General features: G+C 49.1%; 1 protein-coding gene across 3 annotated transcripts, besides 3 other annotated features; it reads right to left on the bottom strand.

Moving 5' to 3' along the window:
• Window positions 1-1,565: 1,565 nt before the first annotated feature.
• On the bottom strand, window positions 1,566-13,239 carry FGF6 (fibroblast growth factor 6). 3 transcript variants are annotated; one of them, NM_020996.3, is made up of 3 exons: window positions 12,649-13,239; window positions 11,557-11,660; window positions 1,566-1,815 (listed from the first exon to the last, which is right to left on the bottom strand). In NM_020996.3, exons 1-3 carry the CDS (start codon window positions 12,992-12,994, stop codon window positions 1,639-1,641), a joined length of 627 nt encoding a protein of 208 aa, NP_066276.2. In that variant the 5' UTR covers window positions 12,995-13,239; the 3' UTR covers window positions 1,566-1,638. The 3 variants fall into 3 exon arrangements, with proteins under 3 accessions (NP_066276.2, XP_016874484.1, XP_016874485.1); XM_017018995.2 differs by lacking the exon at window positions 1,566-1,815 and adding an exon at window positions 6,301-8,820; XM_017018996.2 differs by lacking the exon at window positions 1,566-1,815 and adding an exon at window positions 9,171-9,876.
• Window positions 7,670-8,421: an enhancer, noted in NCBI's record as "NANOG-H3K27ac-H3K4me1 hESC enhancer chr12:4549412-4550163 (GRCh37/hg19 assembly coordinates)". NCBI's record gives its function as "activates a minimal SCP1, AML or CMV promoter by ChIP-STARR-seq in primed H9 embryonic stem cells {active_cell/tissue: H9 hESC(primed)}" and the evidence as "EXISTENCE:reporter gene assay evidence [ECO:0000049][PMID:30033119]".
• Window positions 8,422-9,172: an enhancer, noted in NCBI's record as "NANOG-H3K27ac-H3K4me1 hESC enhancer chr12:4550164-4550914 (GRCh37/hg19 assembly coordinates)". NCBI's record gives its function as "activates a minimal SCP1, AML or CMV promoter by ChIP-STARR-seq in primed H9 embryonic stem cells {active_cell/tissue: H9 hESC(primed)}" and the evidence as "EXISTENCE:reporter gene assay evidence [ECO:0000049][PMID:30033119]".
• Window positions 9,173-9,923: an enhancer, noted in NCBI's record as "NANOG-H3K27ac-H3K4me1 hESC enhancer chr12:4550915-4551665 (GRCh37/hg19 assembly coordinates)". NCBI's record gives its function as "activates a minimal SCP1, AML or CMV promoter by ChIP-STARR-seq in naive H9 embryonic stem cells {active_cell/tissue: H9 hESC(naive)}" and the evidence as "EXISTENCE:reporter gene assay evidence [ECO:0000049][PMID:30033119]".
• Window positions 13,240-13,691: the final 452 nt, after the last annotated feature.

The following is a 13,691-nucleotide window of genomic DNA, read 5'->3' on the forward strand; positions in this document are numbered from 1 at the left end:
TGTACCTGGGTGTGGCCTTTTCTTCCTCACCCAGCACATGTCCTCCCTGACATTTGCAGGGCAGAGGAGGTGGCAGGTAAGGTGTCTCCCCCTTCGATTGCCAACCTCCCATCTTCAGCTCAGAATCCCTCAACCCAGATCTATCTATAGATGGATGCAACTGCAAATAGCGAGGTATGTTGAAGATGAAGGTATTTGCAACAGATGAAGGATTGTCTTGCAGGCCGGGGCCCCCAAGAGTCGCAGAGGTCATCAGGTCATTTTGTAACTCCATGGTTCACATATGCCAAAAATATTTGCACTCTGATATGGCTCTCTCTGGTTTCAGATTTAGGAACATTCCAATGGTTCAGGAATCTGAAGGCTCCGGGCAGACAACATTTATAGTCACTTGGGGAACCTCTGCTTTAAATATTCTCAAAGGACAGGAGGCAGAAGGCACTGTGCAGCAAGGAGCTGCTTCAGCTTGGCTGCTTGACTCTGTGGGATTATCACTCCTCTTCTACTGCAGGGAGGAAGAGAGCACAAACTCTGGAGGTCACGGTGCCCATTCTGCTGCATCCAGGCACAGCGCGTATGTGAGATGAGGATGAGCAAGAAGGAAGTGAGGGTATCAGATGAGAACTTGGGTGCGTTTCTTGGACATAGTTGGAGAGGAATTACCATCTGTAGTCCAAAGCCTCTCTACTTCCTTCATGCCCTATTTTGTCCCCCTACTCCTCGCCAAAGAGGTTGCCATTATTAGGATCCTTGTCATCTGAGGTTAAAATAAGACCAGTTCAAAGTGAGGAAACGTTATGGGCAGGCAGCCTGGCCCCTGCTTGTTCCTGGAGCCATGCACAGCCTGAGTTCTCCAGGCAGAGTGGCTCTCCTAGAACATCCAGTCCCTTCTGCTGCCTCCACAAGCCTTCCTCAGCTGCCCTAGATGCTGCTCTACCCCTTTCCTCCAAGAAGGGAACCGCTTCTCCCCCAGCCTCCCTGACAGTTCATCCCAGTGTCCCCAGAGCCCTCTCTGGCAGGAAGCTTGAAGTGCCTGATCACTCTCTTTCTGGTTTGCAGTTCAGCCTCACACCCTCTCACTCTGCCGTCTCTGCACTTTGAGGACAGCTGCTCCCTGCTGACCTATGCAACCCATGTAGTTAGTGGCCTCTGAATGGAAAGATGATTGGAAAGAGGCAGAATGGGAGCACACATCAATCTTGCTGGTTTGACAAGTGACATTCTTACAGGCAGATTCCTGCAGCGATGATGCTAGGAGAAAGAAACCTGATGCTTTGAAATGCCATTGCTCTGAGAATGTGTATAAAGCTGTATGGATATACAACAATGCACACAAACTCCTACCCTGGCCTTTTCCTATGCACATGGTCACATTCCACAAGTGTCACCGATACCTTCTCTCCTCGAGGGAGGTCAGAGCATGGGATAAATTGCCATTCTAAAATTGCTGATTTTAGCCCTCGTTTGAATGGGCTACATGCCGTGGGGTCCAGTGGCCAAGGAAAACAACTGAGGTCTCCCCAAGCACAGGATAAGCCTGATTCAGAAGCCATGGAGGGCAAGGGGAATTCTTCGCTGGTGCAAAATTTCAATCGAACAGATGATGCTTTAAATCTGTGAGCCTTCTTTTGTGGGTCCTTAGATCCTGGGAAGGAAATGAGTGACAGTCATGATCGGGGACACCTTGCTGCCCCGCTTTACCCGTCCGTATTTGCTCAGGGCAATGTAGGTCCCTTGGTACAAGTCTGACTCGTAGGCATTGTAATTGTTGGGCAGGAGGGTTTCTCTGAACTTGCATTCTTCTTGGAAGCTGGGCTGTGGAAGACATGGGCAAACAGCAGAGACTGGGTTACAAATGAGGAGTGCTGCAGATGCCAGCTGGGCCGCAGAGAGTAGGCCCCTCTGCCAGGTGCCCTTCCCTTCTCTTTGTGAGACAACCACCGTGAGGTCTGAGCATCCTGGGTGAACAGAATGGTGAAAGGTTAGGATGGGAAGAGGCTGCAGGCTCTCATGGTTTCCTCTCACCTTCCCTCCTTTACGATAAGGAAACCAAGGCCCAGGGACACAGGGGATGGTCTGTGCCACATGGGGTAGAGCTGAGGCTCTACCACTCAGGTGTCCTGACTTCCAGAGTAGTTTCTACTAAGTCCCTAGATGGTAACTTATTCCATTCAAAGAACAGACCAGGAAATGACACAAGCTGTTTTCTCAAGTCCACTCTGAGAGGGAGTCTACTGGAGCAGGGATGAGAGCTCAGGGTGCTATTTCGTGACTTTTCTACTTCCTAATTGTGTGACCTTGGGCAGGTTCCTCCCCTTGCAGCCTCAGTTCTCTTTTCTGCAGACTGTGTGTGGTGGGGGAAGAAGGAGAGAGGCGGTTGGTGGAGGGGGAGGAGACACAAGTGATCTCTTAAGCCCTTTCCAGCACTGCCTGTCTCTTTGTTTCTGCTTGTGGTTCCTCAGTCTGTCTTTCCTGGTTTAAGTCTCAAGTTTTCTATCCCTCAAAAAGGCCCATTCTCAGTTTTGACTTTGAGTCTAGAAGAGGTCTGGTACCTCCTAGACCAGGGGTCCCCGACCCCCAGGCTGCAGACCCATACCAGTCAGCGGCCCATACCCGTGCGGGACCTGGGCTGTACAGCAGGAGGTGAGCGGTGGGTGAGCGAAGCTTCATTTGTTTTCCAGCCACTCCCTATTGCCTGCAAGACCACCTGAGCTCCACCTCCTGTCAGATCAGCAGTGGCATTAGATTCTCATAGGAGCAAGAACCCTGTTGTGAACTTTGCATGTGAGGGATCTGGGTTGCCTGCTCCTTCTGAGAATCTAACTAATGCCTGATGATCTGAGGTGGAACAGTTTCATCCCCAAACCGTCCCCCCATGTCCCCATCACTCACCCTGTCCATGGAAATAGTCTTCCATGAAACTGGTCCCTGGTGCCAAAAAGGCTGGGGACTGCTGTCCAAGACAATCATAGTTCTCCAGGGACATGCAGGAACAGAAATGGTGAGGAGCAGGAATTTTTATGGGGAAAAGGACCTGGTTCCCAATGTGACAGGTGAGGCCAAGGAGCCTGGGACCAACAAAAAAATGGCCCTTTCCATGCTAATTTTGTAGAGTGTGTGTGGACCACCTGTTCAGAACATGAACGCTGGACTTCCTGTCACATGAACACTGGACTTCCTGTCACATGAACGCTGGACTTCCTGTCTCGCATGCACAGATTCATTCCCAGTACATCACCCCAAGTCCTCCTCTTTCCTCTGCAACCTGCCTGGGTGGCTGCCCTAAGGGAGTATGCGGGGATTTCCTGCTCTTGTGGGGAAGCAGCTGGGTCGGGGCTAGAAGAACAGAGAGCGAGGTGGGAGCCAGAGACCCGGGATCTACTCTTGAAAAGAAATATAGAATGAGAAATGGATGGAGGATAACTTCTGACTCCTTCTTGCTTGAGTATAAAAAAAAACCCGCTCGATGGCTACTGGGCTGTGCCAGAGGTGTCCTCTGACCTTCTGTAAAGGAATCGTACTGCTAGTGTCCCATCTTGCTGGCAGTGTAGCTGGACGAGAACCTCTTGCTGTTCTGAAGGGCTGGTTAGTAGCTTGCTCCTCAGGGCCCCAAGACTCCCAGAGCCCTTTCAGTGGACCTCTCTGGCAACATTTAGAACAGCCATACTTTCTTTCCCAATAGACTCCAAGATCCCTGAGATGAGGACTGTGTCTTGCTTGGTACATGATGCTGAGTGGATGGTGGTTTAATAGCGACAACATGGCTGGTTTCAGTGGCTCACACCTGTAATCCAGTACTTTGGGAGGCCAAGGCAGGAGGATCACTTGAGCCCAGGAGTTTGAGAGGAACCTAGGCAACATAGCAAGACCTTGTCTCTACAAAAGCTTAAAAAAAAAAAAAAGGCAGGTATGATGGCGCATGCCTGTAGTCCCAGCTACTCTGGAGGCTGAGGTGGGAGAACCGCTTGAGGTCGAGGCTGCAGTGAGCCATGATTGCTCCGCCGCACTCCAGCCTGGGTGACAGAGTGAGGCCCTGTCTCAAGAATAAATAAATAAGTAAATAAGGACAGCACAGAAACATAAGGAGACCCCTGCATGGGTGGCTCTTTCAATGTGATGTGAGCGTGGGTGAGGGGACAGCCTTGCCTATGGGAACACGGTGAAACTGCCCTCATATGTTTTCCCCATCTTCTTCTCTCATGCTTGCAGCTTATTTACAAAGCACTTTCACTGATGTTAACTTGCTTGAGATAAATGTGAAGGCGTTCACTAGCCATGTCAACAGGTTAATGCCACACCGGGGGGTGGGTTTTTCATAAGCTTTCCTGTTTTCCTCGTTAGGATGCTCAGTGAATATTTGTGGAATGGATGAATGAAGGGATGTCTTAAAGGTAAAAAGGATGAACTAATCAATGTAGGTCAAGAACATATTTGTGCCACAGCTTTAAGGTTAGACTGATGACAATAGCCTCTTAGCTACGTGAGCCTGGGGAAATCATTTAACCTCTAAAGCTTCAATTCCCTCATCTGTGAAGTAAGAACAGTAAGAAAAATTGTGTCATAGAACTGGAGTAAGCATTAATTGAAATTATGCATGGAAAGTCCTGGGAACAATGCTTGCTATACAGTAGAATTAAAAACAAATTAGTAGTACTAGTATTCTTCTCCAAGTAAATAATGAACTACTTTACATTAAAAGCCTCGAAAGACTGCCTTACCCTGGATCACCAGTCCCATAAGACTTGCTGGGGGTTACTGGACAATTTAGCTTTTAAGCTCTGCGGTTTTTGATGGAGTGCCTGGGAGACAGTAAGCTTGCATGGAAGAGCAGGAAGCCAGAGGAAGGGCAGAGGCTGACGCTGGCTCTGAACCAAGACCCCTCATTAGGAGCCTCTCTGGACCCTGGTTTCCTGCCCTGTGCACAGGACTTCAGTCGTTGGTGGGCAAGCTTGGGAGCAGCAGCACCAGGAAAAATTCAGCTCAGAACTGATTGAAACATTCCAAGTAAAGCTACACTAATGAGAAGTCCAGTACAGGTCAATGAACAACATAGAGTCCAGCAGTAGATCCCAACACATACATGGATGTAAAATGAAATTAATCTGAAATGAATATAAAGTAAAAGTGTTATTTTAAATCACTAGAGAAAACATGGTGTTGGAACAACTGAATGGTATTTTATTATAATGATAATAAAGTTTGATGTGTATGACTTTATCCCTTACATCAAAATAAATTCCAAAGGGAGTAAAGATTCAAATGTAAAAAAAAAAGAACCATTAAAATCCAGAAAAAGTTTTTTTTAATAAACTCAGAATCAGGAACATCTTTCTAATCAGGACAAAAAAAATTAAAACCATTTTTAAAAAGTAATAAATTGTCTTCTACTTGAAAAATATTACCTTAAAAGAAGAACAGAAATGGTAAACTGGATGAAAATACATACAATACACATATGTCAAAGAATACATTTTGTTACTATATTCAGAACCCTAAACTCACTGGAGAATGAACAGCATTTATAAAACAGAAAATTCCCAGGAAAAGAACTATCAATGGCATTTGAGCAGAAGAGAATATGCCTAATAAGAGAAATGTAAGTTATAACTGTGAGATCCCATTTTTAGTGGCCAGATTTCAAAGAGAAAAGCGTTTGACACTATGCTCTCATTAGTGAGGGCACAGAAACTAGGAATTCTCATTTAATGTCCTCTGATGTGTATACTGTTATAATCTCTATAAAGAGCAATTTGGCAGCATCTACCAGAATAAAGGATGAATATAGCAACTGATCAGCAATTCCACTCCTAGAAATTTATCTTACTGATATATTCCCACACACGCACAAAAGTTACTACAGCATTAAATAACAAAAGACCAAAAACAATGTATCTATTAAGAGAGGAGTAGCTGAGGTGGCTCATGCCTGTAATCCCAGCACTTTGGGAGGCCAAGGTGGGTGGATCACGAGGTCAGGAGATTGAGACCATCCTGGTCAACATGGTGAAACCGCATCTCTACCAAAATACAAAAAATTAGCTGGGCATGGTGGTGCATGCCTGTAGTCCCAGCTACTTGGGAGGCTAAGGCAGGGGAATCTCTTGGACCGGGGAGGTGGAGATTGCAGTGGGCCAAGACCGCACTCCAGCCTGGTGACAGAGCGAGACTCTATCTCAAAAAAAAAAAAAAAAAAAAAAAAAAAGAGGAGTAACTAACTCAATTATGGTAGATCCACATGATGGAATTCTATAAGCCTTGAAAAGATAAGAAGCCTCTCTGTAATGACATGAAATGGCCTCAAAGATACATTGCTAAGTGAAGACACAAGGTTTGAAAAAGTGTTGGCATAGTACGCTCTTGTTTGTGTGATTTTTTAAAAAAGATGATACCGGTGCGTGCACGTGTGCGTTAGCTATTTCTGGAACGATATACTGGAATGAAACACTGGTAACTGGGGCTGCCTCTAGGGAGGAACTCAGTGGCTTCAAGACAATGGTGGGAGTGAGACTTTCCATAGAATATTCTTTGATACTTTTTTCTCCTTAAAACATGTTCCTGTGTTACCTAGTCAAGTACGTAAATTATTTAAAGTGGGAAGGGAATTTAGGGTAGCAAATGGGCCAGGAAACGAAGCGAGAAAACATTTTGATCAGAAACTGGTGGTCTCCTTCTTGTTGGGTCACGGCCCCTCTCCACCCACCAGCCTCCCCCCTGTTCTAACTTTGTATGTCCCTGGAGAGTAACCCGCCCAGTCAGTTCCAGAGAATTTATTTCTGATCTGGATGGTGGTTAAGGGAGAGGTTTCGTGTGTTGTTTGCAAGCTCTAGTGAGGAAATGAAATCTTGAGGTGGAGGAAGGGGAAGTGGGAGGAACTGAGTGACTTGGACAAGAAACTCTCAAGCCATTGCCCACTTCCCCGTGCCTAGAATGTGCCCATTTGAGAACCCAGCCTCTCCTAAACATCTGGATCTCCTAAAACATGATTGTTTAAGCATGCATGACCATGGATGCGTAGATTGTACTTTGCTTCTCTGGTCATTCGATTTTGGATCATTCAAATCCACTCCCCCTCAACATACACACTTTTTTTTTTTCTGTTTCTATTTTTTTTTCAAGTTTACTACTTTTTTTTCTTTCCATTCTGCCCTTTTCTCTAGCCTGTCTCATATCCCTGGCCTTCCCCAGAATCCTGTACAAAACTAAAGTGAAAAAAGACAACTAGTAGAGGAAGCTTGTGTTAGAAGCCCTAACCTTCCCCTTGCTGCTCTCTCTCCTCCGCCCTCAGCACCCACATCTGTGGGGTTTGGAAGGCCAGGAGGCCTGTGGCATGAAGGAGAGATAGTGCATTTTTTCTGAATGCTTCAGGCTGATGGGATTTTCCCGATGCCCAGAGTGATGCTCAAGACCCAGCCCCTTAATTCATCTTCATCAGAGCCCTGAGCTTTGAGTTCTCATGGCTTGGGAATGTTGGCCCCTCAGCTCTGGTGAAGAACGCACTCGAGCCAAGTGAACGCCATGTTCATAAAAGCAGCTACTGTATATGATTACTTGAATAAATGAAAATCATTCCACTGGGTCACATTTCCTGGGCCTGCCAGGCTCAAGCCCCAGCATGAAAATATCTTCAATTTGATGTAGGTCTATTCAGACTTATGTGCATTTGGCACTCACTATGGAGAAGGGCATTTCTCAGAGGAGCAAGCATATCCATGGGGTAGAGGTGCCTCCAAAGTGTGAGGTGGACAAGACAGCCACCCTCTCGCCTTTAGAGCTAAGTCACTTGGACCAACGAGGATCTAATCCTGCTTTTAAACATCTTCACCCTGTGACCGCTGGGGCCATTTGTCCCTGTTCCTCCTGGCAGTGTGTGTTGGATGGAGAAGGATGGGGTGGAAGGATGTGGGCAAGAAGGAAAAATAAACCAATTCTTTGTCCTAAGACTTTCTTCTGTAGCCCCTGACTGCTTCTTTTCCTGTCTTTAGCTGAAATATCATCAGCTCTGAAGATGCCTGCATTTTCCAACCCTTTTTCCTAGCACACAATTGAACTGTTGATTTAGGAATGTTGGAAAGTGTTTTCATCAGGTGTTTCATTCTTCTCACTCCAGTGCAGCTCTTTGTAGCAGGCGGGGATTTGTATGCAGAGCCTCAGGCCCTGCATAAGGGCATGCACCTCCCGCTGCTCTCCAGCCCCATCTCCCAGCACTTCCTCATGGTGGGTGTCCTTCATCCCATTCCCTCAGGAGTGCTGTTTTCTGCTACAGTGGCAGCTGAGCCAAGGCAAGGCTGGTCCTCCCAGCCTTGTAATGCCCCAGATAATAATGTAATGCCCCAGATAATAATGCAATGCCCCAGATAATAATGCCCCAATGTAATGCCCCAGATAATAATCAAAGGTCTCTGGAGGAAATCAATTTTGTCCTTTGCACATTGTCATACTGTTGACGAAAAGCATGTAAATGCGGCTCTTCTTAGTAAAACTGAAATCACTTGAAAGCACGACCGAATTGCTGGTATCTTTTTACTAGTATATATTTTTCTCAACCAAAGGATTCTAATAGAACCACTGTCAGGTGGAGATCCTTGATATTTTGTTTTCTGAATTTCAAAGGGGACCAAGGGGGCTAGAATTCACTGATTTCTGCCTCATCCTCAGAGAGCAGAGATCCAGGCCCAGAGAAGTTCAGTGACGTTGCCCAAAGTAAGACGAGTAGCTGGAGGGTAGGTTGGCCAGGAACTGGAACTCGGGTCGCGGAGCCCTGAGACGGGGCTGCACACAGCTGTGGCTGGACGTGTGACCCTGGAGACCGGGTGTCCGCAGCTGCACAGGGAGGATGAAGATCAAATGCACCTCCTAGGGGTGCTGTGAGATCATGCTCGTGAAGCCCTCTGCAGCCTGTGAATCCGAGCACAAGCAGTAGGCTAGTGCTCAGGGCAGGGCAGCTGTTTATATTGTCTAAAGGGGGGCCTGGCAAACTGCCCTGAGCCTCCACACCCCTCTTTCCAGGAGACAGACATGTGTGAAGCCACTTCTAGCCAGGTTTCCTTGGCCCTTGTTCTCTGCCCACGAGTCGTTGCCTTGTCCCCCTCACCAACACCTCAGCCCCAGCCCAGTTTCCCTCCCCCACCCATGAGAAATCCCATGAACTGGCAGTAGCAGCTGAGCCTGGGAGATGAGGCAGCTCCGGGGGCTTAAAAGGAAATAGTGTGAATGAAATCATCACCCAGCAGGAGTCTTCCTGGCTCCGGGGATCAGTTGGCAATTGTTTTTTTAGACTGTGATAACGGCCTCTGAGGGGCGGAGAGGGAGGGGTAGAAGTTGCTCAGGAGCATCTGGTCCTGAGCCACACAAAACGTCAGGTGCCCCAGGCTTGGGGCACAGCTGTCCAGCCCCACTCTCTGTGTGCAGGCCCGGCTGGCCCTGAGGTCCAGGGAGGAGAATCTCCCTCCCTGGAGAAGATGCTCTTTGGCCAAATGCTACTGAGGGTGAAGGTAGGAGGGGTGGGAGGGTGGAGGTGAAGGGCGCCGGGTCTTTTCCCAGAAGTCTTCCTTTCTCCTGGACTCTGCTTGTTTAGTAAGCCCAGCAGTTCATCAACCTGCCTAACCCCCTTTGAAGTCATCAGCCAGTAACGGTGCTGCAGAGTGAGGGCTGGGGGTGGGGTGGTGGGTTTCAGGCATTAGGAGTCAGCCTCCTTTCCTTTTTGCTATTCTGAATGCTCTTCCCCGCTTTGTGGCGCTTTCTCTGATGGTTAAATCGTATATTCCCTTCCCGAGCCTTTCCCAGCTTCTCCTTCCAGGGCCAAGAGATTGAAAGTGGGAAGTGGGTAAATTTCCTCTATATTTGTGCATTTTCTCCTCCCCACAATTAAATTCCTTTCTGGGTAGGAAGAAAAAAGTAATAAATGGTTTGTTGATAAAGGCGACAAGGAGAAAGAAGAGTTTATGAAATTTGTGCTTTCTCCCAGGAGATTTACTTGCTAAAACGTCCCTTGCTTGCATGGAGTCCCACAGCCAACAGCCTAAATTCCCGGCTCTCCCGACCCTATGGGCTTCCGGGCATTATGCAGGCTGGGAAGAAGGGGTTCTTTGGGATGCCCCACCCTACAGAGGGGAAACCTGCTCCATCAAAACCTGGGTTGGTCCCAGGCCTCTTCCTGTCCTCGCCATCACTTTCCCAGAGAGCGGTAACAAGGATATGTCTCTTCTGTCTCATCTCACTCGCCCTCCAGCTTTCAGGTTCAGTGTAACATGGGGAGTGGGTGGTCCCCTGCCCTCCAGAGGCCATGTAGCCTGCTGACCCCCAAGCCTGCCTGTTCCTCAGAAACACCTGGCAAATTTAAAATACAAAAACAAATGGATTTCCAGGCCCACACGCCAGCTCTGCTGAATAAGAATCTCCTAGGTAGGTACCTGGAAATCCATACTTTTAATAAGTTTCCAAGGTGACAGAGATGCAAACTGTCCACAGACCCGTGTGGGAGACCCACTGATTGTAGTGCATGCCGTATGTCCACATAAACCAACCCAGACTGAGAGATGTTAGCACTAAAGATTATGGGGTGGAGGCCACCTGGTGAACCCGTTCTTGTATTTCATAGACCTCCTCTGTTGGGACAGCTCCCCTGGGACCCAGTGCCAGTCCTGGATCTATTTCTTCACATCCCAGTCCTCAGTTTATCCTCCAAGGGGCAGTAGATCAGCTCTCCACACCCTCCCCATAAATAACTTTGATATTTTTTGAGGCCTGCTCTGAGGTCTTCCTTTTTAGCTTGCTTATTTCTGTCAAAGGAACTCTCCATTTCTTCAGCCTCATCGGGATGTTTGCCCCGCCATATTTTGGAATAAGCCAAATGATGGGCCGAGGGCTGCAGGAAAGAGTAGGTCAGTGAGAGCAGAGGTTTTCGTCAATGTGCTTAGAAGCTGGTTGCATTAACCCAAGTGCCAGCATTGGCACTCCCAGAGGTGACCTATGGGGGTGGGGATGGGAATGGGTGGGACTGGTACCAGCCTAAAGTGTATAACGGGTAGGCTGCTTCTCTAGCGTACGTGATCGGAGACCAGAGGATTGAAAACCCTAGTGCAGAATCTCAGCACACTGATGAGGATGAAAATAGCCTCCCATTCCACTCCTCCTGCTGCGCACGAGGCTGGGGCATCTTGCAGGGCGCGTGTCATGGAGCAGCGCACCCAGGCAGAGAGACAGACTTGCTCTCGGGGCCTCGCCAGTGCAGGGAATCACACCTGCTCACAAGCCTGGATGCCAGAATGTGGGTTTCCCTCTGGCCCACGGGCTCCCTGAGCTGTGGTTTCCGTTTAAGCACACGGGCTCCGGCCGGCAGGTGGGAACAGAAGAAGCACGGGCCAGGGCAGAGGACAATCACCCGTGAGGCTGAAGAAGCACAAGCTGCAAGGCCCCTCCCTTTCACAGGCTCCTCTCACAGCCTTTCCTTTCCCATTTAGATAGTCACTTCTCTACTCAGGACTTCATATTATTTTCTTCAACTGTGTAAGCATCAAGCCTTGTAAACCTGGCACTTCCCCGGCCTGGTGAACTCACCGTTGCGTACAATCTTCCTTTACTGTTCATGGCAACGAAGAGGGCACTTCTCACTCCAAAGAGACTCACCACGCCTCGCTCCACAGTGGAAATTTCCAGCAGGCCTGACAAGGAAAGGGGGGCCACATTACCTAAGGCTTGTGCAAATCAGAGTGGGAACTTGAGCCGACAAGGGCATCTCAGTCCATCCCCCTTCTCCTAGAAAGCCAGACTCTCCATTGCCCCATCCATGATCCCTCTAACTCTAGGAGACCCTGGCTGCTGGACTCATCGAGTGCTGCCATTGTGCTGTTAGAAATCCAGTTCTGCAAGGGAAGGTTCTGATAGCAGAGTTAGGGGCTGCAGTGACCACTTAGCTATCTGTTTAAGATGAGCTTTGAATCTGGGCTTTCAGTGACATAATTACTTGAGGTCCTTGACTTGAGTAAAAAAATAAATTCTGATTCTTCTTCTTCTTCTTAATGTGTACTCTACATGTTTCAACAAATCTCAACCCACTTAATCTTGAAAACACAGCAGCCACACCATAGCTGATGGCTTTCTTGGATCCTGCAGCCCCCATCCTTTCTTGGATAGGAGACTAACCATACAGCAAGCTGGCAGCTTGCAGGCAGCTTGCAGGATAAGAACCTGGGGACAGAGGGAGCCGCTGAAATAAAAAGAAGGATGTGCTTCAGTTGGACATTTTGCAATTGAATTTCCCTTCCTTCTCCAAGAAAGAAGCTGAATAAAAATGAGCTTGTGTCAAATTTGATCCAAGTATACTAACTGATTCTCCCTACCCAGGCCTTGGGGGCTTCCCAGACTAATGGTTCCTAATGGTCTTACAAGGCATCAGATGGGCCAGTAATGCTGAAATAGTTAGTGCCACTGAGGATCTAACCAAGGCGATGGCAAAGAACACCAGGATGCTTGGACCGCAGTATATTGAGCTTGCACCCAGGCAGGGTCACGTGGAATCATCTAAGTGGTGAGCAGCATTTCTGCCCCCTTTATCGTGCATCCTGTCCGCTAGAGCAGGGCCCCTTCACCTTTTAGCCCTGCATGAGCCCAAACCCCCAAGCGTCCCGACTGGCTGCAGCTGGCACTCACTGTAGGGGTTCTCCTCGTGGGTCCCGCTGATCCGGCCGTCGGGGAGCACCTGGAGGTGAAAGCCGATGCCCACGTTGCAGTAGAGCCTCCGCTGCCGCTTGATCCCCACCAAATAGCCACTTTCCCAGTTCACCCCGGCAATCTCTCCAGCTAGCCCGGCGCGAGACCTGGACAGCAGGGTGCCCCAGCCCCTCGAGTCCAGCAGCGTGTTGTTGGCACGGGTGCCTGCAGGCGAGGGCACCACCATGCCCACTAGGATGCCTAGGAAGACGAGAGCCCACAGCGTGCCCTGCAGACGTCCTGCTCCCCGGGACATAGTGATGAACAGTTTCTGTCCCAGGGCCATCCACCTTGCCTCTCAGGCACGTGGTCAGAATTAATGGCCCTAAAAATACCGCCCTTCTTGTTTTTCTCCCTCCGGCATGGCGGCAGGGGCTTATTTTTGGAAGGCAGATGAAGGCTGCTGACATGAAACCAAAGCCTCCATCGGGCACTCGGGTTGAGAGCAGAGGGACCCAGGCTGAGCCGCGGCCGGTAGAGACCATGGCTCGGGGACGCTCTCTAGCTCGCCCGCTTGCTCCGTCCCTAGTTGATGATATTTGATTTGACCTATCTTTATAGTTGCTTCAGCAGCCCGGCCCTCCCCTCCACCCATCATCGCCCTGACGTCAACCCGCCCAGCTCACTTATCCAGGGCTGTAACATTAACCTGCTCTTGGGCCTGGCTGCCTCCCCAGACCCCCATCACCCTCCACACTCCCCAGGGGTTCTGGGAGCCACTGTCATTCCAACTATGAGGCAGGAATGAAGTGAGCAGGGAGCATCTCTGGGGGAGGGGGGAGCTGGCTGGGGGCCCAGGGAAAGAGAGAGGCGAGAGGCCACCCAGGACCCATATTGGGCAGAAGTTCTTTGCCTGGCAGCGCTGGCTTCCTTATTTAGAGGGCAATAGGTAGAGGCAGGGATGGGAAAAGGCTTGTGGTAGTGATGACCGTAGCCTCAAGTCACCCTTGAGATCTTTTCATGGAAACAGCTCATGGTGGAGG

The sequence above is a fragment of the Homo sapiens genome, chromosome 12 (assembly GCF_000001405.40).
Source record: "Homo sapiens chromosome 12, GRCh38.p14 Primary Assembly".
NCBI classification, from domain to species: Eukaryota; Metazoa; Chordata; class Mammalia; order Primates; family Hominidae; genus Homo; species Homo sapiens.